The sequence below is a fragment of the Homo sapiens genome, chromosome 11 (genome assembly GCF_000001405.40).
Source record: "Homo sapiens chromosome 11, GRCh38.p14 Primary Assembly".
NCBI classification, from domain to species: Eukaryota; Metazoa; Chordata; class Mammalia; order Primates; family Hominidae; genus Homo; species Homo sapiens.
The window spans coordinates 129,418,558-129,442,153 of NC_000011.10; the positions used below are offsets into that span (position 1 = coordinate 129,418,558).

Here is a 23,596-nt window from a genome sequence, read left to right on the forward strand (position 1 = left end):
CATACATAGCTTTTTTTAGTGTATACATTTCTACAGTTTGAAATTTTCTACATTGAAACATATTGTTTCCTATTGGGAAGAAGTTGATGTGATCTCTATCACGAATGAAAACATATCCTTTATACTGCCTTTTTCTTTTGGGAATTGGGTACCCTGTCATGAGAATTACGGGGGCCTATTCTCAAGTAGTATAACGAACGCCTGGCATAGCTCATTATTAACACACCCTACAAGGTTTTAACTATGTTGGAATGCACATCAACTGCCTGGAAGACAGAATGTCAGAAAGGAAAGTCTCTGGTAAGTTGTACAGAAAGTCCTCAAACAACATCGTTTCATTCAATGTTGTTTCATTATAACGTTGATGAAAAACATTAATCTTGGCCTGGCCACTGTCCGTGTGGAGTTTGCACGTTCTCTCCATGTCTGCGTGGGTTTTCTCTGGGTCCTTCAGTTTCCTCCCATGTCCCAAAGCTGCGCACATGAGGTGAACAGGCGTGCCTACATGGTCCCTGTGTGAGTGAGTGTGGGTGTACATGTGAGTGCGCCCTGTGTTGGGGGGTGTCCTGTCCAGGGCCGGCCCCCGCCTGGCACCCTGAGCTGCTGAGAAGCTTCTGGCCACCTGCACCCCTGAACTGGAAAAACTGGGTAAATACTTACCCTACTTCATTTTATTAATCATTCTTCAATGTTTATGTAGTTCATATTTATTTCAGTGTTTCATATTAGAAATCTCTTGGCCTTTGTTTGGAAGTTTGATGTTTTTGTCGCTAGAAACGTGCTGTAGGAACTTCACTCTTGTTTATATCAATTGGCCTGTGGGAAAATTGGTTTCTTATATTGGTTTCACTTAAAGCCGAAGTTTCCAAGAACCTTTCTATAATATTAAGTGAGGACTTTATTTTAGAATTGTGGGAGGTAGCGTGATATATACTTAAAGGAGGATGGCCATGAATCCAACAGACTTCTGCTCAAATCTCAGACATGTGACCTCATCATGGGATAGTTTCTGTGTGGAGTGAAGGATGTATGTGCAAAGTCCAGCCCCTAGTGGTGCCCAGTGAGTGTTCCTTCCTTTTGTCCCTCTGTCCTTGGCCTTGAGACTTGTGGGGGAATCTAAAAGACACCAGGCTGATTTAGGTCTTGTGGAGCCTCTCTGCTTGTGGGCGGTTGACTCTTCCTGAGGCCCTCACCACAGGTGCAGCATTACTGGCAATATTATTATTATTATTCTTGTTTTTGAGATGGAGTCTCACTCTGTCGTCCAGGCTGGAGTGCAGTGGCACAATCTCGGCTCACTGCAGCCTCCGCCTCCCGGGTTCAAGCGATTCTCATGCCTCGGCCTCCCAAGTAGCTGAGATTACATGCATTAGCCACCACGTCTGGCTAATTTTTGCATTTTTAGTAGAAATGAGGTCTCACCATGTTGGCCAGGTTGTTCTCTAACTTCTGACCTCAGGTGATCCGCCTGCATCGGCCTCCCAAAGTGCTGGGATGAGCACAAAGGCATGAGCCACTGCACCCGGCCTATCAATATTATTTTTTAGTGAACAAATCAGTGTCAGTGTTGTGGGCCTTTGGGTTGTAACGCAATCCAAGGTCTACTGTTCCTTTCCCCCCTCCTCCTAAACATGTATTAGCCAAATTTGGGGAAATTTTCCAAGCAGAAGCTTTTTGGATTGGCTGTTAATACATCACATCATTAGCTGTGAATCTTGGATACACTCAAGCTCTCCCAAAAATAGACCACATGAAGGAGGAAAATAAGAACCCGAGGCCATGCAAGCACTCAGTATTTGGTGGCTCTTGCCCAGAAAGGCAATACAGTGATGTGAACAGAACACTCGTTTTCTCTCCTCTGGAGGCCTGAGCTCTGTTTCTAGTTCGGACCTCAGCTTTCTTCTGTGTGACTTTGTTTAATGCCCTCTGCCTCATCCATCAAAGACTGGATTAGAAAAAATAATCTCTCTTCTGTTATTTAGTGTGTTATTAGCTATAAATCACCTAATCTCAAAGTCTTAATTGTGCATGGTGCAAATATAGTCTTTTGCCTTTCGTAGTTACAGTCTGGATCACCCATGGGAATATCAGGTAAGTAAATAGTTTATAGTTTATTACTTCACCTCCTTGTGAACTGAGATGATTGAGCAGAGCTGGAGAAGTTGATATGCATGCATTAATATTTTGTTCTTTGCACACGTATTCAACTAATATTTGTTCAGTTGATACCCTGTGCAAAGTACAGGAAGAACACTGTGGGAGATAGAAGTAAAAGGCAAAAACTTTAAATGTGGTTGAGAAATATTAGAGAGACATATTGTTTCCTAGTGTAATATTAGTCATAAAATCATTGTACCTTGGTACCAAAAAGGGACCTTCAAAATCATCTCATTCCCTCATTTACGGATGAGGAATATTCAGAGCAAGAAAGACCTCACTGTGGCCCAGAGGCTGAGCAAGTTTAACGGGGTTGTCAAGGCCAGAGTTCAACCTTCATAGACAGGATTTGGCTCCGTGCAAGGGAAGAGAAAGGCCTTCTTGCTGTAGGGAGCAACTGTCTTTGGTCCTGGTAGCCAGTTGGATACCGTGGTTTGCGAACCGATGTGCATTGTGTTGCAAAATCTTATTGCTGTTATTCCTGTGGTTACCCCTTATTATAGTAGTGTCTTCAAGAGGAAGACTCAAACATGAGTAAATATTGATGTCTCATGTAAAAATTTTCCCTCAACTGTTTGGGGATGCACTGGCTGCCATTTATTCTTAACAGCTTAAATAAAAGAGAAAGGGAGAGGAACTCTCATTCTATCCAACAAAATCCTTCCATCAAACACAGAGCTTCCCTTTCCTCCTTACTTCAACAGGTAGATTCCTTCAAAGTTGGAATCCTTTTTGTAACATAGTTTGATGACCCCTGTGTGCATTGGATGCATAATCACTAAGGATACACATCTATTAGAAATGAATAGAATACCAAAAAGAGAAAATCAATGGGATTCCATAGAAGTCATATAACTGACTGCGTGAGATGGAAACATCCTGATGGAAATGCCTGTATGATGCCAGTCATCACAGTAATGGGAAATCTTCCGATCACTGACTATATTTTGGGGGCCTTGCCAGACACTGGTTTGTTTGCAGGTGCTCCGGTTTAATGACTTGCCTTCATGTTCCAGCAACGAGCTCTTCCTGCTTGTCCTTACTCTGTGGAACCAATTCCAACATCAGAAGTTGAAATGAGGCACAAATGCCTTTTCCTCTATTTTCTCTACTCCTCAGGTTTTTGGTTTTACTTTTTTTTTTGGACAGTTATAATTTGGCAAATTTGTATACTTTTATACTGGCATATCTTAAACTTTTACCTGTTGCTTTATATCATTCAGTTTGGATCACATTGGAATCTCAGCTAACCTCATTCTTAGAATGTCAGTTAAATGCCACTCTTTCATGAGAATCCTGATGGCCTATACTTGGTTAGATCTTCCTGAATACTCTTTTTCCTCCCCTTAGAGATGGGGTCTTGCTCTGTTGTCCAGGCTGGCCTCGATTGCCTGGCTTCAAATGATCTCCTGCCTCATCTTTCCCAAGTGCTAGCTTTACAGACATGAGCCACTGTGCCCAGCCCCTCAACACTCTTTATAGCACCTGAACTACTGCTTTTTAAATCATCTGCCATCCTGGCTAGACCCTACGCTGGACAAGGACCTGGTCTGTCTTTTATGCATTTATTTAATTAAATTTTCTTCCTTTTCCTTTTTTTAGAGATAGAGTCTCACTCTTGACACCCAGGCTGCAGTGCAATGGTGCAATCGTAGCTCACTGCCTCCTCCAACTCCTCGGTTCAAGTGATCCTCCTGCCTCAGCCCCCCAAGTAGCTAGGACTACAGGCACACACCACCACACCTGGCTAATTTTTAAAATTTCCATTGAGATGGGGTCTCACTATGTCGCCTAGGTTGATCTCGAATTTCTGGCTTCAAACGATCCTCCTGCCTCAGCCTCCCAAAGTGCTGGGATTACAGGCGTGAGCCATCGTGTCCAGCCAGGACATGGTCTTCTCGTGTATTGTTTTATCCCCAGTTAGTGTGTAGATCTCTTGTGTGTACAGTAGGGATTCCACAATTTATTTAGTTGAATTGGATTTTATTCTCTTTTTTTTTTTTTTTGAGATGGAGTTTCACTCTTTTCGCCCGGACTGGAGTGCAATGGCACCATCTCGGCTCACGGAAACCTCTACCTCCCAGGTTCAAGTGATTCTCCTGCCTCAGCCTCCCAAGTCATAGGCATTACAGGTGCCCATCACCACACCTAGCTAATTTTGTATTTTTAATAGAGATGGGGTTTCACCATGTTGGCCAGGCTGGTCTCAGACTCCCGACCTCAGATGATCCACATGCCTTGGCCTCCCAAAGTGCTGGGATTACAGGCATGAGCCACCCTGCCCAGCCAGATTTTATTCTCTTTTATCTCCCTTTGTTTTTAATTCTTTGCAACTAAGTCAAGCCATAGAGAGATTTAAGTCAGGATTAGAATGTGTAGGGAGAAGAATGAAATCAGATTGGATTTTTTTTTTTTTTCCCAAGACGGAGTCTTGCTCTGTCACCCAGGCTGGAGTGTAATGGCGTGATCTCAGCTCACTGCAACCTCCGCCTCCCAGATTCAAGCAGTTCTCCTGCCTCAGGCTCCCGAGTAGCTGGGATTACAGGCACCTGCCACCACGCCCGGCTAATTTTTGTATAATTAGTAGAGACAGGGTTTCACCATGTTGGCCAAGCTGGTCTCGAACTCCTGACCCCTTGATCCACCCACCTTGGCCTCCCAAAGTGCTGGGATTACGGGCTTGAGCCACTGCACCCGGCCCAGATTGGATTTTTAAAATTACATATTTTTTTGCATGTAATCAGGAACTTGCCTGTGGACCCAGGGGGCCACATGCAGAAAGGTAATCTCCAGTGGCTTTTTCTAGTAACTGGGTCCAGTGCCCTGACATTGTGCACATCTCCCCAGCATGCCTGGTGGAGATTCCTAAACCAGGGCTATAGTCCACTTCCAGGGCCATAGTCAGAGAAGGGGAGAAAGTTTCAAAACTTATGTGAAAAGGCTAATGAGTAACCTCATTGAATGTTTATCATTCTTGAAATTCTCTTTGGCCATTTTACTAGTCCTGTACTCTCTGGCTTGTGCTGCTGCCTCTTATGCTATATAATGCCTGTCTCTTCTATTGATGATTTCCTCTTCCAGCCCTGTTGATGAAGATGTACTCCAAGGTCCAGTCCTTCATCCTCTGTTTCTTTCTCTCTCTCTCCTTTTTTTTTTTTTTGTTGAGATGGAGTCTCACTCTATTGCCCAGGCTGGAGTGCAGTTGGCTCACTGTAACCTCCACCTCCTAGGTTCAAGCGATTCTCCTGCCTCAGCCTCCCGAGTAACTGGGACTACAGGTGCCTGCCACCATGCCTGGCTAATGTTTGTATTTTTAATAGAGACAGGGTTTCACTATATTGGTGAGGCTGGCCTCGAACTCTTGACCTTGTGATCCTCCCACCTTGGCCTCCCAAAGTGTTGGGATTACAGGCATGAGCCACTGCGCCCAGTCCATCCTCTTGTTTCTTAAATCTTTCTTCTTGGGAGATGAATTCTGCTTTCAACCCTTCAACTTTGGTTTTGAGTGAATTTATGCATTCATCTCAGAGCCCTTCTGGGGAGCATCAGCTTGTGACTGTCTCTGACACTTGGATGTGTGATTGTCACTTCAAACTGTAAGCCTCATGTTTTCTCCCAAAACATTCCCACGTTGCAGACATCAGATTTCTCTCAATGGCCCTAAATCCAGCAGTCACCTCGAGCGTCTTGAGTCTTCCCCTTCCTGTGTGTCTGCCTGTCTTCTCCCCACCCTGCAGGTTGTTTCCAGATACTACTGGATTTTCCTCGACAATGCCTCTGGAATCCATCCCTTCCTTCCCCTCTTGGAACTCAGTTCCTGCTCTTTTCACAGCTCACCCTGTCACCAGGCACTGTACTCTCTAGAATTCCTACACTTCCTACACCACTCAGCCTTTGCCACATGTTTCTTCATTTCCCTCTTTACCTTTAAATAATTAGTTTTTTTGAGGGCAGAGATCAGGAATTGCTTCTCTTCTTGTCTCTACCAGTCAGCACAGAGCTGAGTAGCTGTTCAACAGAGTTCCCTAATGATGATGACAGTGAACCAGAGGATTCCTCCCAGGAAATTTTGTGTGTGGACTTTGCCTCTGTGAATGCCAGGATGTCAGCTAGAAATGATTGAGCACAAGCTATGAGGCAGAGGGATGGATGAGGTTAGCACAACAAAGCAGTGTTGTGACTTCTTAGTGAATAGAGACATCTTTACAATATGGAACATTCACTGGATCTGCTAAGTTGGGTGATTGAAAAAAATCAGTGCCTTTTTTGGAATAGTTCTTCATTGTCTTTCATACTCATTTGCAATGTTATCCCCCAACAAGCTTGTAGAGAAGTATTACTATTGCCTTTTTATAGAAGAGAAAACAGAAGCTTCGAAATATGACCAAGGTCATAGAGCTCAAAGGTGTCAGAACCACATCTCTAGCCCTGAAATCCTGATTCCAGGTAAAATCAATTCAACAAAGCATGGAGTTAAGCACCAGGAAGATGGAGTTTCAAATTTTTTTCCTAAAGAAGTTTTCAATCTCGTGAGAAACAGATGGGTAAACAACATAACTCCTAATTCAAGGTTTGAATTAAGTAAGAGTGAATCAGGACACAAACAGAATGTGTGGGTGCATGAAGGTAGGAGTGAGTGATTCTGTCTTTGTACTAAACAGCAGCTGTTCCTGGCAGCTTTCCGTCAGGGAGTGCTTGTGAAGCATGGATGAAAGCAGGTGTGGGTGTATATGGAAAACAGCATGGCCGGGAGGAGAAAGACCACACCATGTCCATGTGCTAACTGGCCAATGGAGGTGAAGGGTGGTGGAGGCTGCGGGCTGGATGATGACTGAATTAGGTGATGTGACATTTTAGGCAGCATGAGAAAGTCTAGAAACCTACCTGTTGGGCTAGCTTAATCGATCTCACTTAGCTCCAGCATTGCTGAGTGGTTTTGTGGGTGTCTACATTTCTAGTGATATTGCAGGGATAAGGTGATAAGACTTGGCTTGTCTCTGCAAAGTGAAGAATATGAAAAGAAGGTGTGAAGCAATCAGGCTTCCAAGGTCTCTCTGATGTCCTTTGCTTATTTTCCAAACTTTCTTCATTTTTCTAAATCTCCCCAATCTTTTCTCCCCACTCCACCTCTCTGCCCTTTATTTTTAAACCTTTGTAAACTTCTTAAGTTTTTATTTAACTGGAGGGTTATTCCAGAGTCTCTATCATGGTAGTCTAATATGGATTTTAGAATAAATTTATTCCGTGTTTCTAATTCATTTACATTTAACTCACAAAATGCCCTTCCTCCTTTTTTTTTTTTTTTTAATGAGGTAGTTAATGTTGCTAAGACATTTTGTCAGCCTTTGAGTTGGCCTCTTAAAACATTTTCTGTTTTCTTCAGTCACACAAAACTGGAATCTGTAGAGAGTGCATCTGTTTCATTCACTCTTGCTGGACTAGAAACTTGGTGAATCACAGTTAAAAGGCTACTCAGAATCTCTTTGTATTTCCTCCCTCCCTCTGTCCTCCTCTCTCCTAGGCTTACAGATTATGCGTATGGGGACACGGTCATGGAACTTTCACATCTGGTGACCACCAACACTCAGCTCGCTCTCAGCATAAGACAGGGCAAAGTAACTTACTTTAACCACCCTGTATCTGTTTTCCATGCTGGTTTTTTTTTGTTTTTTTTTTGAGACAGAGTCTCACTCTGTTGCCCAGGCTGGAGTGGAGTGGCACAATCTCGGCTCACTGCAACCTCCATCTATCGAGTTAAAGCAATTCATCTGCCTCAGCCTCACAAGTAGCTGGGATTACAGGTGTGCACCACCACGCCTGGCTAATTTTTGTATTTCTAGTAGAGATGGGGTTTCACCATGTTGGTTGGCCAGGCTGGTCTTGAACTCCTGACCTCAGGTGATCCTCCCACCTCAGCCTCCCAAAGTGCTGGGATTATAGGCGTGAGCCACCACACCTGGCCCCGCTGCCTGCAGTTTTTAGAAATTGGCTTTGGTTCTGTCTTGTGACCCCCAACTCCATCCTTCCTTGCCTGTTACTAACCTTGAGAAGGGCTGTGCCTTGGGACCCTCAAACTTTTCTGTGGATTTTTTTTTTTTTAACAGATCTACTAAACCCAAGTAACTATTTGGGGAGTGTTGGTAGTTTTAGGAAGATGTCCAGCCAGGTGAGCCCTTCCTCTGACTTCTCTGAGCTCCCTGGTTGCTGTCAGTCTCGGTATATGGCTGCAAGGGCATTGGAAGACTTCCATTGAGCAAAGAGAAACTGGCCGACTCTGCTACTGCTGAATCTTGCTTTGCATGTGAATGCACAGATGATAAGAAGATACGTATGCATGCTTCACAAGTAGGTGTGCTTTCTTGATAAGAAAATTAATCTACTTTAATTTGGCTCAATCACTGAGCATTATGAAACTAAGTGAAGGGAGAGAAAGAAAGGGAACCAAGTGCCCCCTGGGCACTTCACATACATTAATGCCGTTAATCCTCACGATAATCCAGGAGGGAGAACTGTTATTGGCCTAACTTTATAGGACATTGAAATCAAGAAAGACTTGGTAACCTGCTCACTGTGTGAGTCAGGAATAGAGGCCTTATTTTTTCCACTACCTCAAACTACCAGCCAGTTGGTAGGAACGGGAGCTTAGGGGAATACTTCGGTGTGGGTGATTTTATGTTTTTTTTCTAGGAAACTCAGCTATAGCTGCCCAGTTATCCATGGCGTACATCTTCCAGGTTATCTGCATACTTCTGGACCAGTGTCTTTGTGTGTGCGTTGTTTATGTCCCTCTGAAGCTTTCTGTGTATATATAGGTCACACATTCCTGCAATGTAAATCAGTCAAGCAGGCAGCTTAGAAATTCTTATCCATTCAGACCTTTGGCCTTTGCTTGTGTAAACTGGAAATGTGGGTGTGGAGAGTCAATGTGGGGACTAGAATGTTGGAAGAATAGAAGAGAAGCCCACAGGAGGTGTGTGAGGGCAGAAACTGTACTTGGGGGATTTTGCCCTGAGGTTCAAGTATGGCTGTAGCTGCGGGGACCTGGCTTCTGCCATGAAGGAGGACTTAGATGGAGGAGCTGTGCCAAGAACCAGCAACCCTGGAGTGGGTACATGCCTGGCCCAAGCATGTTCACATGCACGAGTTCACTGACAGCTTTCAGAACCAGCATGACTGAAAATACTCTGTTTAGCCTACCAAATGTTCCACATCTCCCCAAGCTCCCAGGATGTCTCCGGCACCCACCAACCACTCATGTACTCAGGTTTTCCAGAATCCAAAAACAGATTCTCAAAAAGGCCGAACATTTGGCAGGGAAGTATTTCTAGGTAAATGATATGCACAGTTATGTGATCTCCATCCCAGAGGGAAACATTGGCTAAGAGGATTGGTTGAAGAAAAACAACTATTAGAAAATGTGTTCAATGGGGTCATGTTTATGCTCCTTCTGTCAACTAAAACTGTGTGTTTAAACAATGTCTTTGGTTTATTACAGTCATCACACTGTCAGTAGCAGATAATGTGCTTGAATTTCACAAGTGTATGTAAATGATCTAGGGTAGCAGGGCAGCTGTCCCCAGTCAACGTTTTCACATTGTGATAATTCTCAGGAAAGAGAAAGACATACTTAAGAGTTGTACGTTATCTGTCTTCTCAGTAACCAAAGTGTCTCCTAATGTATGCATTAATTTATAATTTGGCACTGTTTTTAAAACCTGGGTTTGATTTTTAGTCAAAATACAGATTTATGGTGGGATTTATTTCACAGTACTTTTTTGCAAGAGTAGGAAATGTTGGAATGCAAGCGCTTTGTGAAATTAAAGCTCTGGGTCAATGCTACTTTGTTGGAAATCAAGTCATATATTAAAATTAGAAAAGACAGCAAGCAGCTGGCTCAAGTATATTTTGTCTCACTTTTCTGCTCCCCATGGGCTTGCTTTTCGGAGAGATCCAGTGGTTTGTAGCACACACATTACCCACCAACTCCCATTCCAGCCGTGCCTGTTCTTCTGAACTTTAGAGACACATATCAAATACCAAGAGCTCAAGACAGTGCCTCATTGCGATTCTATTTGTTGACAATGGTGATCCTTTTAAGATCCTGAAATGTTTCTCAGCATCACGGCAGCTTTGTGTGTGCGCCTCCAACTTCACGGGGGCGCTCTCAGCCAGTGGGGAAGAGTACACTCTTAGAGCGGAATTTGCATCAGAACGTTGGGTCAAGATTGCTGAAACAATGGACTTTGGTGATTAGGATGTTGCTTTAAGTCACTATTATTTATTAGAAGTTGTGTTTTTTTTTTTTTTTCATGAAGATTTTTCATTAGGTTTAAGCTTTATGGAACCAAATTGCCCAAATCTCTGGAAGTCATTTTTAAATAACCAGCAATTGCTTTTCAGCCTACTAAAGGATAGGATCATCAGTAGAATCATTTCTATAAATTAATCTATAAGGTTAGTGTAACTCTAATCAAGTTTTTAATGGGACTTGCTTTCTTTAGAGTCTAACAAGTTGATTTCTAAAGTTCAACTGGAGGCCGGGCATGGTGGCTCACACTTGTAATCCCAGCACTTTGGGAGGCTGAGGTGGAAGGATCACTTGAGGTCAAGTGTTTGAGACCAGCCTGGGCAACACAGGGAGACCCTGCCTCTAAAAAAAAATTAGCAGAGTGTGGTAGCATGTGCCTGTAGTCCCAGCTACTTGGGAGGCTGAGACAGGAGGATTGTTTGAACCTAGGAGTTCAAGGTTACAGTGACCTATGATTGCACCACTGTACTCCAGCCTGGGTGGCAGAGGGAGACCCTGTCTCTAAGGAAAAAAAACGGAAGTTCAACTGGAAAAATAAATTAATGTCAATAGCCAAGAAAATTCTGTAAGCAAAATAAAGGGGGGACTCGTTCTACCAGATAAGAAAACTCCCTAAAACCCCACAATCATTAAAGTGGAGTGATCCTATAATAGGATCATATATTAGTTCAGTAGAACAGGACAAAATCTGGGAATAGACCCATGTATACATAATATAACCCAACTATTTCTAGGGCCCCATATGGCCTAGTGGATGTAAATCAGAAATCTGACTGTGGAAGCCTTGAATATGAAGATCTTTATTTTACTTGTTCCTAAAGGAGTATATTCATGGATTTCACAAAGTATACTCCCTAAAATATTTTCCAGAAATCTTGTCTAAATAGCCTTCACTCTCCTGCAAGGTGCAAACTCACGGCAGCCTCTAAAAATGTGTCCCCATCTCTCTGGTCTTCGTGGTTTTCTAACTTTCTCTTCCCCCACCATTCCCTGCCCCCCATACATTGTGTTCCCAATTTGTGACCACCTCCACAGAGGGCAGCCCTTGGGAAGGGTAGTTTTTTTCCCCAGTTGGCTGCTTTTCTGGAGAGCGGGATATTCCCGGAATTCTGCTGATGGAAATTCCCCAGGAGACTCCCAGAATTCTGATGAGCAAAAATTCCCAACTTCATTTCTTTGGGAATTTACTGTATCTTAACCCTGCCATTTTAAGTCACTGAACTAGTCAATATATGGTGTTAGGGTTTTTGGCTATCCATTCAGAAAAAATGTGACATACTTATATTTTGTAAAATAACCATTTTGTAACTATATGTTTCAATAGATTAATATACATATTACTGGATTTAGGTCATATATATATATGTACATAGGAACAATTCTGTAAGTTTATCTCTAAGATTTGGGGTTGAAAGCAGTGAGGGGAGTCTTCTACTTTATGTAGTTTTGAATTGTTTTAAATTTATTTTGTAGCAAATGTGTGTAACATTTTAATTTTTTTTGAAATTTCCTTTTAATTTATATTTAGTAAAAATTCACTATTTTGGTAGAAGAGCAAGTTTTGACAAATGCAAAAAATTATATAACCACCACCGTGGTTAAGATACAAAACAATCTTAGCACCTCCCCTGGCATCTCCTCCAGTCCCAGCCAGTTCTCCTGTGCTTCCCCTTTGTGGTTAAGCTCTTCCCCGACCCTTAACCTCTGGCAGTCTATTCTCTATTCCTAGTTATGCCTTTCCTGTAATGTCCTATAATAGAATCATATAGCCTTTTGAGTCTGGCCTCTTTCACTTAAGCATAGTCATTTGAGATTCATCCACTATTCATCAAGTTTTTTGTTTTGTTTTATTTTTTTGAAACAGAGTCTTGCTCTGTCGCCCAGGCTGGAGTGCAGTGGCATGATCTCTGCTCTCTGCAACCTTCACTTCCCGGGTTCCAGCAATTCTCATGCCACAGCCTCCTAAGTAGCTCGTATTATAAGCACGCACCACCACGCCCGACTAACTTTTGTATTTTTAGTAGAGACAGGGTTTCGCCATGTTGGCCAGGCTGGTCTCAAAGTCCTGGCCTCAAGAGATCTACCACCTCGGCCTCCCAGTGTGCATCAATCGTTTTATTGCTTTATATTTCTGAGTAGTATTTCGTTGTGTGTCTGTACCAGTTTTTGTTTATCCATCCCCAAATGAGGGACATTTGGATTGTTTCTAGTTTTTGATAATTACTAATAATTCTGCTATAAACATCTGTATACAGGGTTTTGTGTTCTCTTTTCACTTGGGTTAATATCTGGGGGGTTTTGCTAGGTCAAATGGTAAGCGTTTGTTTAACTTTATAAGAAACTACTAATTCTCTTTCCAAAGAGGCCGTACCAGTTTGCATTCTCGCCAGCAATGAAGGAGAGTTCCAGTTGCTCCACATCCTCACCAGCACTTGATATTGTCAGTTCATTAAAAACGTCAACTGTTCTAGCAGCTGTGTAACAGTACCTCTCTGTGGTTTTTAATTTGCATTTCCTTCATTAGAATCTTTTCATGTGCTAATTTGCCATATGTAGAACCTCTTTGGTAAAGTGTCTTTTCAAAACTTTGGCACGTTGTTATAGGGTTATTTTTTAATTGTCAAACTTTGAGAGTTCTTTATATATTCCGGGTAAAAATCATTTGTCAGGTGTGAGATTTGTCAGGTCTCACAGTCTGCAGCTTTTTTCATTTTCTTAACAGTATCTTTTACAGAGCAAAAATTGTTAATTTTGATGAAGACCAGTTTTTTGCCTTTTTATTTTATGCATCATGCTTTTGGTGTCATGGCTAAGAATTCTCTACCTAACCCAGTGTCACAGAGATTTTTCTCTAATGTTTCTTTCTAAAAATTTTATAGGTTTGTGTTTCTACTGAAGGTCTATGATCCATTTTGAGTGAATTTTTAAAATAATTTATGAGGTCAAGGCTCTTATTATTTTATTTATTTTTATTTTTATTTTTATTTTTTGCATCTGGATGTCCAATTGCTCCAGCACCATTTTTTTAAGCAATTATTTTTAAAAATTTTTATTTTACTTATTATTTATTTTTTGAAATGGAGTGTTATGAGTGCAGTGGCATGATCTCAGCTCACTGCAACCTCCGCCTCCCGGGTTCAAGGGATTCTTATGACTCAGCCTCACAAGTAGCTGGGATTACAGGTGCGTGCCACCACACCAGCTAATTTTTGTATTTCTAGTAAAGACGGGCTTTCGTCATATTGGCCAGGCTTGTCTCGAACTCCTGACCTCAAGTAATCTGCCCACCTCGGCCTCCCAAAGTGCTAGGATTACAGGTGTGAGCCACCACACCCAGCCTCATTTGTTGAAAAGACTACTATTTCTCCACATTAAATGATGTTTCTTTTAAAAGAATGAATGTGATTCAAGAACCCAAACATCTTTTGACATAAAGGGAGAAAATTGACATAAAGCGAGAAAATTCTCTAGACCTTTGGATTCTGAATGGGCTAAAGAGCCCCCCTTTCCCAGGAGAACACCCACAATGTTTGTTTTACTAGAAGTGTCATAAAACTAAACACATTTTATACTCAATTTCTGGGATTTCTAGACTGATTTTCTTTGCCTAGCTTTTAGAAGAAGTTTTAACCACTCCTTGGGATCAAGGGTCAATGAAAGATTATTCTTTTTGACAAACTGAACATAAAATTAAACTTTAGAATGGGAATGAAACTTATAACTCATTTAATGTAACTTTCCTTTTTAAAAAATTTTAAAAAAAAGATACGCACCTGTGCAAAATGTGAACAATGCAGAAGTATCATCTAGATTTGGGGATGCCAAGGGACATGGGCTTTCCTACTGCTTCTCTGTCCCCTCCTCAGTGTCTTTGGCCGGCTCGTCTTCCTCTCTGTGACCTGAGATGTTGGCGTGCCCCAGAGTTCAGCCCTTGTATTTCTTCATTTTTTTATTCCACCCACTCCCTTGGTGATCTCATGCAATCCCATGGTCCAATATGCCACATAGACTCCCAGGAATTGTGTCTCTAACCCAACCTCTATCTGACTGACTCCTCAACATGTGCAAGATGTCTAATAGCAACTTACCTAACACAGAAATCATGGTTTTCTCACTTAATCCTGCTTTTTGCCCAGTCTTTCCCATCTTGGTAAAGGGCACCATCCTTCCTCCAGTTGCTAAGACCAAAACGTCAGGCCTCTCCTGGCAACTCTCTCTCTCATACCTGACATTCAGTCCTTCAACAAGTCCTCTCAACCTTAACTATAAAATGCACCCCCTCTCACTGCTGTAGCTGCTGCCTCTGGTCTACTGGCCTCCTCACTGGTTTCTCTGCTCCCACCCTGGCCCCTGCAGTCCAACCTCCTTAGGGATCATTTAAGACATCAGTCAGATCATGTCCTCCCTCAGCTCACATCTTGCCAATGGCTTTTTTAAAAATCACATTTTGAATAAAATCCAAGTGATTTGCCCTGACCTACAGGGCCCTGCGTAATCGGGCTCCAACAGATCTCTTCCCAGTTTTCTCTCCTGTGACTTCTGCCCTTGCCTACTCTGCCTTTCTGCTGGTCTTTCAACCCATGCTCATTCGGCCTTTAGGGCTTTGCCTGTGCTGGTTCTGGGGCTGGGGTGCTTGTCCCGTACCTTCTCCAGGCTCTCCTCTGCGTGGGGGTGCTTACCTGCAGAAGGGTCATCTTCCCACCATGGCCTTCCCTGACTCCTCATCCCCAATACTGCCCTCTGCCCCACCTGCCCCATCTTCACACTTTGCTGTATTTTTCATCATAGTTTATCACTACCTGGCACTATTTACATATTTACTTGTTTATTTGTTTGCTGTCTGCCTCCCCAAATGGATGTAAGCTCCATGAAGGTAGGACTTTATAGTATTCGTTGCTATCTCCCCAGCTTCCAGAGCGGAGTGTAGCCCATAGTAGATGCTCAGTAAATATTCATGGCTGGATTGAATGCAGGATTAGATGCAAATGTGTAGATTCCTTTTCACCCTGTTTTATTCCAAGCCCAGAGGTTATCACTGTTAACAGTTTGATAACTAGCCTTCTAGACTTTTAAAAATGCATTTATAAAGGCAGACAAAAAAAAAATCATAGTTTTAAAGAATAATACAAATGATTTTACATCATATTTTTCTCAATAATATATTAGGTATTTTCTCGTATTAGTTTATATATAGTTTATCCATCTATTCATCTCTCTTTCTCATCAGTTTATATGTTTTTTTTTAAGAGACAGAATCTCTGACTGGGCACGATGGCTCACACCTATAATCCTAACATTTTGGGAGGCTGAAATTGGAGGATTGCTTGAGGCCAAGAGTTCAAAACCAGCCTGGGCAACAGAGACCCTGTCTCTACTTTAAAAAAAAAAAAAAAGTAAGTAAAAAAAAAAAAAAAAAAAAAAAAACAGAGACACGGTCTCACTCTGTTGCCCAGGCTGGTCTTGAACTGCTGGCTTCAAGCAGTCCTCCAGCCTCAGCCTGCCAAAGTGCTGAGCCACCACACCTGAACTAGATAGTACTTTTTAATGGTTACATTGTAGTTCATACTATGGATGTACCACAATTTATTTAATTATTTTCCTGTTGAGAGATATTAATATATAGGTTATTTCCCCTGCTCATGATTATAAGCAAGGCTGCAGTGAATATGCTTGTATATAAATCTTTGTACGCATAGACCTCAAATTACGAAATTCCCTGTCAGTGACTTGGTAGATACTGCTTAATTTGTCCTCAAGGATTATACTGTTTTATACTCCCACCAACAATATATGAATGCCTATTTCCCCGTATGCTTGCCAATGCTAGATATTACCACACTTTCAAAATATTATTCAATGTTGGGTAAAAAAATATTTAACTCTCTTACAAAAGAGAAAGGTGATACAAAGCCTTCCTTACAGGTGGATTGTTAGTCATTTCCTATAATGATAAGCTTCTTAGTTTCTAGATTACACATTAGCCTGCTAAAGAAAGATAGTCTCTTTTGAAAGAAGTGACAGACTTAAAGGAGTAAGGTGATTTAAGATGAGAAACATCTTATGCCTTTTTAAGAAGCTTCCAACTTCTTTTCCAAGAAGTATCATTTCAGGATGTGTGCTGTGAGATCCAAACCACAAGCCCACATATCCTCATTTTCTTGCTCTAAAATATCACTCCCAGGTGATTTTTTTTTCTTAAAAAGAATCCACAGCACAAAACATCAAGTGTTGGAGTTGGCTGGAGAGTTAATGGAAGTTGTAGCAAGTGGTGATTTATTGTTATTTAACCACTTTGTGGTTTCTGCTGGGCCTAGCTAGAAGTGTACTCAAAGAATAAGAGAAGCTATTTGTTTTATCAACTGTGACTGGGGGCCAAACAAAGGCATGGGAAGGAATAAGAAGAGAAATGCCAACCCAGAGAAGAGAGCTGGAGCACAGGTAGTACCTGGATGCTTCTGTGATGTTAGTCGGTTTCAACTCAGAGCTAGTGTGAATGTTGGTTGGCTCAGATGCTGGCTGTGGCCTTGAAGTCACTTTTCAGGGCTGGACTGAGTCCCAAAGGGCAGTCCCTGGGTCTTCTCCATTTTCATCAGATATCAAATGGGGAGGATGAGAGGTCCTTTCGTGGCATCAGTATATTAGAGTTTGAAGGATTCTTTAGAATCAGCTAGTTTTCTTACTCACCTTATAGATGATGAAACTGAGAGATAAAATGATTCACATAGGTAATGATCCAGACATTTTAAGCTCTGTGTTGAATAATCAAAGGGAAAAGCTCTTTACTTGAACTTTACAGATTTAACAGATTGTTGGACAGAAAAGAACTCTTGCCTTGAAATTCCTAACGCAGGAGTGGCATATAACTGGTATGTATGCCACCATACCCTGCCCCGGCCACATGCCCATAGCAGACATTGTTAATCGACCCAGCACCTTTTCCTCAGCCAAGCTCTGGCCAGCCTGAGAATCCTCCTTAACATAGTGCTGGAGGCGCCAGTCATACCGATCTGAGCTTTCATGTGATTTAAAATCTGTTTGCCTCCCTCTTCTGAATGATGTATCCATGTGATTCATGATGTGCTGATAGCATGGGACTTCAAGTCAGAAGAACTTGGTTTGACTCCTCCATCTGCTGCTTCCTAGTTACGTTATCTTAGGCAACTCACTTAACCTTCCTGGGGCAATTTACTCCCTCTGAGATGAGAAAGTTGAATTAAATAATCCGAAAGCATCCTGTCAAGCTCTGAAAAATGCTATGCTTCAAGGTACACAGACTTCTCAGGAAGAATTCATAGCTACAAGCATGTCTTTTTATAAAGACCACAGGTGGTTCTCAGGAAGTTTGCATATTACAAATCTATTTCGGGTTTCTGAAATATGTGTCTCTAGCTTTTCCTGACTACTTCTTTTCATCTGCCTGGTCCCATGGACCAAGAATTTAGGGATTCCGAAGGGAGAGAGGGGAAAGATCTGCTTAAAACCAGAGGACTTGCAGGAACCTCTTCTGGGCCGTGGGCTTCATCTTCCCACACAGAGCAGAGCAGACCTCTGTGCCTGCCCTGCAGCTGTAGGTCTTGAGTTACCTCTCCTTCCCCTTCCTCCATCTGTACCTCCTTAAGAGCAGGGCCCTCCCTGTCAGACAGACCTCAGCCAGCGGCCCTCCGCAGGTCCTGGCCTGCTTCCCCACACCGTTCCCTGTGGTGACCTGCCTCCCTGCTTGTTTTCCAGGCTCCCCTTCCCTGCGGGCATATCCGCTCCTCTCGGTGATCACCCGCCAGCCCACTGTCATCTCCCACCTGGTCCCTGCCACCCCGGGAATCGCCCAGGCACTGTCCTGCCACCAGGTCACCGAGGCGGTCTCTGCTGAGGCCCCAGGGGGCGAGGCCCTAGCCAGCAGCGAGTCAGAGACGGAACAGCCCACGCCCCGACAGAAGAAGCCCCGCCGGAGTCGCACCATCTTCACCGAGCTGCAGCTCATGGGCCTGGAGAAGAAATTCCAGAAGCAGAAGTATTTGTCAACCCCAGACAGGTGAGGACGCAGGGAAGGGACTCTCCGCAGTGAAGGCCCCTGGGAACGGGAGACTTGCTCCCATTGTGGGCCGTGGAGCCACAGCACTGGTACAGTGAGGCAGGACACTATGGCGGAGTCCACTCCTTGGCTCAAATCATCTCAACCTTGGTTAACAGAACCCAGCCCACATGAATCCACCACACGGTCCCTGGAGCCTGCCTGCGGCTAAACTTAACTCACCACTTTATCTCCATATTTGAACTTAACTATTTCAGTATCATAAACAAGGTCCAGTTTAGCAAATGGTTGCTCAGGCGGTCAGCTGGGAAACAGGCTTGGTTTTTAAGCCACTCACTCTTAGGATTGGAGGCAGCAGGACTAGATTTGGAATTGGGATTCATGATCTTCTCAATCTTCTCCACAGCCTCCAGCTGATTCCCCACTGACTCAGTTTGCTGGCCTGGCTATTGCTTGGGAAGGACTGGAGGGATCCAGTTGAGGAGGTCAGACATGTTAGTGAATTTGCTGGATGTCAAGTCAGAACCATTTGACTGAGACCCAGGAGGACCTGGCTGAGAGCCCCTTCTTTGAACCCCTCTGAGATCCATGTTGGGGAGGCTGTGACCCTTGCTTTCTTGGAGGCCTCAATGCCTCACCTCCTTTTCTTTAATTTACTATTTTAACTGAAACATATGCCAGAGTGTGTGTCTGGGCCGGGTATTGTGGCCCACACCTGTAATCTCAGCAGTTTGGGAGACTGAGGCAGTAGGATCGTTTGAGGCTAGGAGTTTGAGAGCAGCCTGGGCAACGTTGTGAGACCCCGTCTCTACAAAAATTAAAATATGAGCCAGGTGTGATGGCATGCACCTGTAGTCCCAGCCACTCAAGAGGCTAAGATGGGAGGATCACTTGAACCCAGGACTTTGAGACTGCAGTGAGGTATGATTGCATCAGATTGCATCGCTGCACTCTAGGCGAGACCCTGTCTCCTTAAAAAAAAAAAAAAAATAGCCGGGTGTGTTGGCTCACGCCTGTAATCCCAGCACTTTGGGAGGCCGAGGCAGGTGGATCACGAGGTCAGGAGTTCAGGACCAGCCTGGCCAAGATGGTGAAACCGCGTCTCTACTAAAAATACAAAAATTAGCTGGGTGTAGTGGCAGGTACTTGTAATCCCAGCTACTTGGGAGGCTGAGACAGAGAATTGCTTGAACCCAGGAGGTGGAGGTTGCAGTGAGCCAAAATCATGCCACTACACTCCAGCCTGGGCAACAGAGCGAGACTCAGTCTCAAAAAAAAAAAAAAAAAAAAAAGTGTGTATCTCAGTGTCTCATCTTGTTCTTTCAGACTGACTCTGGAGATGGCTGAGCTAATAATGTGTGATCCTATTTATTGGGGAGATTTCTCAGGTCCTTCTTCCTCTTCTTTTGCCTGCTGCCTTGGACATACCAGGTTGGACACCAGTCCTATCAAAAAGTAAAGGAAGGAACCTCAAATGAATCTCTTAAGCTGTGTAGTAGCTCTTTGATACAAATTTAAGTGACAGAGGAGTCTGCATATCACCGACTAAAAGGGAATTTAGCTTCTGATTCTGTTAATGAGGCACCGTCAGCTGTTTGGTAAGGGCCTTCTGGGTGCCACTGGGGCACTGTGGCAGGGATTACGGGTCCAGAAAGCAGTCGAGAGAGTCCTGTTGTGACAGAAAGGGATCATGGGGAAGGAACGACTACAGGAACAAAGACGCAGCAAGCCAGGCGCTGGTGCCTGTGCATTGCTGAGTGCAGTAGGAACACAGGATATTGCTGAGCGTGGGAGATGGGGTTAGGGGAGGCTTCTCAGAGGAGGTAACATTTAAGAAGAGCTTTGATTCCAGGAGGGACAGGAAGTCCCGCACTGAGGGGTTGGCACACACAAGGCAAAGAAGCGTGTCTCGCCGGGTATGTGGAGGAAACTGCAAGTAGCCAGGACATCTCCAGCTTAAGGTGTGAACAGGCAAATGGTGGACCTCGTATGCCTGGCTGAAATGTGAACTTGGTTGTTTAAGCAGTTGGCACTGCCTTTATGAGCTGGAGGTGACATGATCAGACTTACATTTTAGAACTGTCTCTCTGGTGGCACCATAAATGATGGATGAGAGAGGCCAGAGACGGAGCAGGGACCAGTTAGGAGAGAATCCAGTGATCATCACGAAGACTTGAATTAAAGGGTGGCAGTGGGAACAGAGAGGCAGGAATAGAGAGGAGGACAATTTTTTTTTTATTATTATACTTCAAGTTCTGGGATACATGTGCAGAACGTGCAGGTTTGTTACATAGGTATACACGTGCCATGGTGGTTTACTGCACCCATCAACCCATCATCTACATTAGGTATTTCTCCTAATGCCATCCCTCCCCTATCCTCCCCACCCCCAAACAGGCCCTGGTGTGTGAGGTTCCCCTCCCTGTGTCCATGTGTGAGAAGAGGACAATCTTGAAGAGAGAATTGGCAGAATCAACATTGCGGAAGGAAGCAAGAAGGGAGTTGAGAATTCTGTGGTTTCTGGACTGGGCCAGCAGGTGGATAGGGACGCCATGAACTGAAGTAGGAAGACAGAGGACAGAGTAGACTTAGGTGGGGAAAGGTTGAGTTCTGTTCTAGACCTGTGCATTTGGAGTGTCTTTGGGCAGATGATGGAGACAGGTCTGTGAACCGGAGGTTAGTAGATGGGCTCTCCAGGTATGACATGGCTGTTTCCACTTCCCTAGCATATAATTGAGAGCCTCATGAACTTGTGCACCCAGTGGAGTGGGCACCTTTGTCTATGGTAGCACGGTGGTATGTCAGACGGGCTTCAGCGTGCATGACTAACATATTAGGCTGATTTTTCAGAAGTCAGAGAATTTTTTTTTTCAGAAATATTAGTTCTTCTTAAACCTCCTGGGGCTCCCTGATACCTGCCCAGGCATCTCTCAGGTCACCTACACAGGATTGATTCACTTATCTGGGAGGACACCATTGGCTGGCATGGAAGCTGCCATCTTCACCTGCCCTCTCAGATGTTCCTCGCCTCCCTACGTGACCAGGGCCATGAGCACTCCCTCCTCCCACAGCTCTCACCCTCCTCCTCTGTGTTTGTTTCTCCAGTTTCCTAGGTGACCCCATTTAAGCGAATATGCAGGGAAGTGAGAATTTGTAACGGTGGCAGGTAATGAGAGAAAGCTGATGACAGTGAAGCATGTTTCTGTAGCCAGAGTGAGTCAGGGCTGCATTTTTCCCAAGTGAGCTAACACTGTTTGCTAATGCAGTTGCAGAGCTGTGAACTGAGCCTTCCATTGACTAATGCACCTGATGGCCTCAGGTGAACTGGGCTCGGGAAGGCACCGCCAGCCAGAACCATGGAGGACCCGTCTCCAGGGAGGCCTGGGAGACCAGAAGTCTGTGGGGTGGCCCCCTGGGTTCTTGGTTCTCAATGAGCGACTGCTTGGGAAGCAGTGCTTCATTTGTGGGAAGAGCCAAGTGCTGTTGGCACTGGGAATTTATTGGCTTTAGCCTGTTAATCACTTTCAATAAAACTGCCAGCTTCTAGTAGCTCTTCTACAGGGATGACCAGAGGGATGTGAGTACTGATTTAAGACCACTTCCAGGGTCCCCTGAAGGAAGACTCTGTGTATTATTGGGGCTTTAAATTATGCAGCCTGGTCAGAGCAGGGCAACTGGGCAGCTGCACCTGAGATCATCAGGGCCGGTCCCTGTGGGCCTCCCTGATAGTTAGATCTCCCCAGGTGGAGAGCTGCAGCTGAAAACCCACACCTGAGACTCCCCATGGAGCAGGCAAGTGAGACTGACTGTGGGCCCGAGATTCACAGACGGCAATCCTCAGAAACCTAGGGCCTTTCAAAAAGTGGGGGTTGCTGCCCAAGCTCTGTCAGGGGTGATTGTCCCAAGCTGCTGCATTCGAAGTCCACACTGCTTTGCTGAGCAGGGCTGGCGTGGCAGTGAGGCAGCTTATGTTGGCTTAAGGAGGTGGCTCTCCAGTTGGTGCTGAGGTAGACCTGGGGTTCTTATCCTATTAGGTCAATGGTTGTTGTCTCAAGGACTGATGTTGGAAGTCTGACTGCAGACTTCCCTTTCTCATTCTACTTGTCCCACCCGGTTGTTTGCTGCTTCCTGGGATGAAGCATCCCTGCGATCCCCTTTGACAGGTTCAACTTGTGCAGATATATTGTGAGTGGGTGTGAGCCCCAATGCAGGAGCTGGTGTACAGGTCAGACATCGTGGGTTTGAATCCTGCCCCACTTCTTAACTCTACGATCATCTGCCAGAGGTCGGTAAAGGTTTTCTGGGCAGAGCCAGACAGTAAATACTTTACATTTTGTGGGCCATATGGTCTGTGACAACTACCCAATTCTGATATTGTAGCACAGAAGTAATTTATTTTTATTTATTTATTTATTTTGACAATGTCTCACTCCATTGCCTAGGCTGCAGTGCCGTGGCGCCATCTCGGCTCACTGCAACCTCCGCCTCCCAGGTTCAAGCACTTCTCTTGCCTCAGCCTCCTTCGTAGCTGGGATTACAGGTACCTGCCACCACACCCAGTTAATTTTTGTATTTTTAGTAGAGATGGGGGTCTCACCATGTTGGCCAGGCTGGTCTCCAACTTCTGACCTCAGGTGATCCACCCGCCTCGGCCTCCCAAAGTGCTGGGATTACAGGCATGAGCCACTGTGCCTGGCCTGTTACAATAAAACTTTATTTACACAACCAGGTAGCAGACAGGATTTGGCCACAGTTGCTGAGAGAGTCTAATCTCTCCAAGCCTCAACTCTCTTATCTGTAAAATGGGAACAATTACACTGCTTCACTGCGTTGTGAATGGGATAGATAAGACAGCATGTCAGGGGCTTAGCATGTACCCTGGGATGCCGTGGTGCTCAGGAAATGGTGGGTGTGTTAGATTTAGCCCCAGAAATGGCTTTGACTTTTAGGACTTTTCAGAAGACTACAGAGAAGTACAGCACCATGATTAGCAGTAGAATGGAAAACAGGAAGGGCTGTGGATTTAATGTTTCTTTTGGAATCTTTATAATATTTATTTATTTATAACATTTTAATTGTTATAACAATTTAGGACAGCTACA

At 44.1% G+C, this 23,596-nt stretch overlaps 1 protein-coding gene across 3 annotated transcripts in view, besides 1 other annotated feature; it reads left to right on the top strand.

Moving 5' to 3' along the window:
- BARX2 (BARX homeobox 2) overlaps positions 1–23,596 on the top strand; it is a 77,047-nt gene that overhangs the window by 43,325 nt on the left and 10,126 nt on the right. For 2 of the 3 annotated variants that reach the window (XM_011543044.3, NM_003658.5), the window contains exon 2: positions 18,194–18,494. In XM_011543044.3, coding sequence (XP_011541346.1) covers positions 18,442–18,494 — 53 coding nt within the window. In that variant the 5' untranslated portion in view covers positions 18,194–18,441. Of the gene's footprint in view, positions 1–236; positions 301–18,193; positions 18,495–23,596 lie in introns of those variants that run through there. The other variant, XM_011543043.1, reaches the window with a different exon arrangement.
- Positions 22,103–22,627: an enhancer, noted in NCBI's record as "H3K27ac-H3K4me1 hESC enhancer chr11:129310555-129311079 (GRCh37/hg19 assembly coordinates)". NCBI's record gives its function as "activates a minimal SCP1, AML or CMV promoter by ChIP-STARR-seq in naive H9 embryonic stem cells {active_cell/tissue: H9 hESC(naive)}" and the evidence as "EXISTENCE:reporter gene assay evidence [ECO:0000049][PMID:30033119]".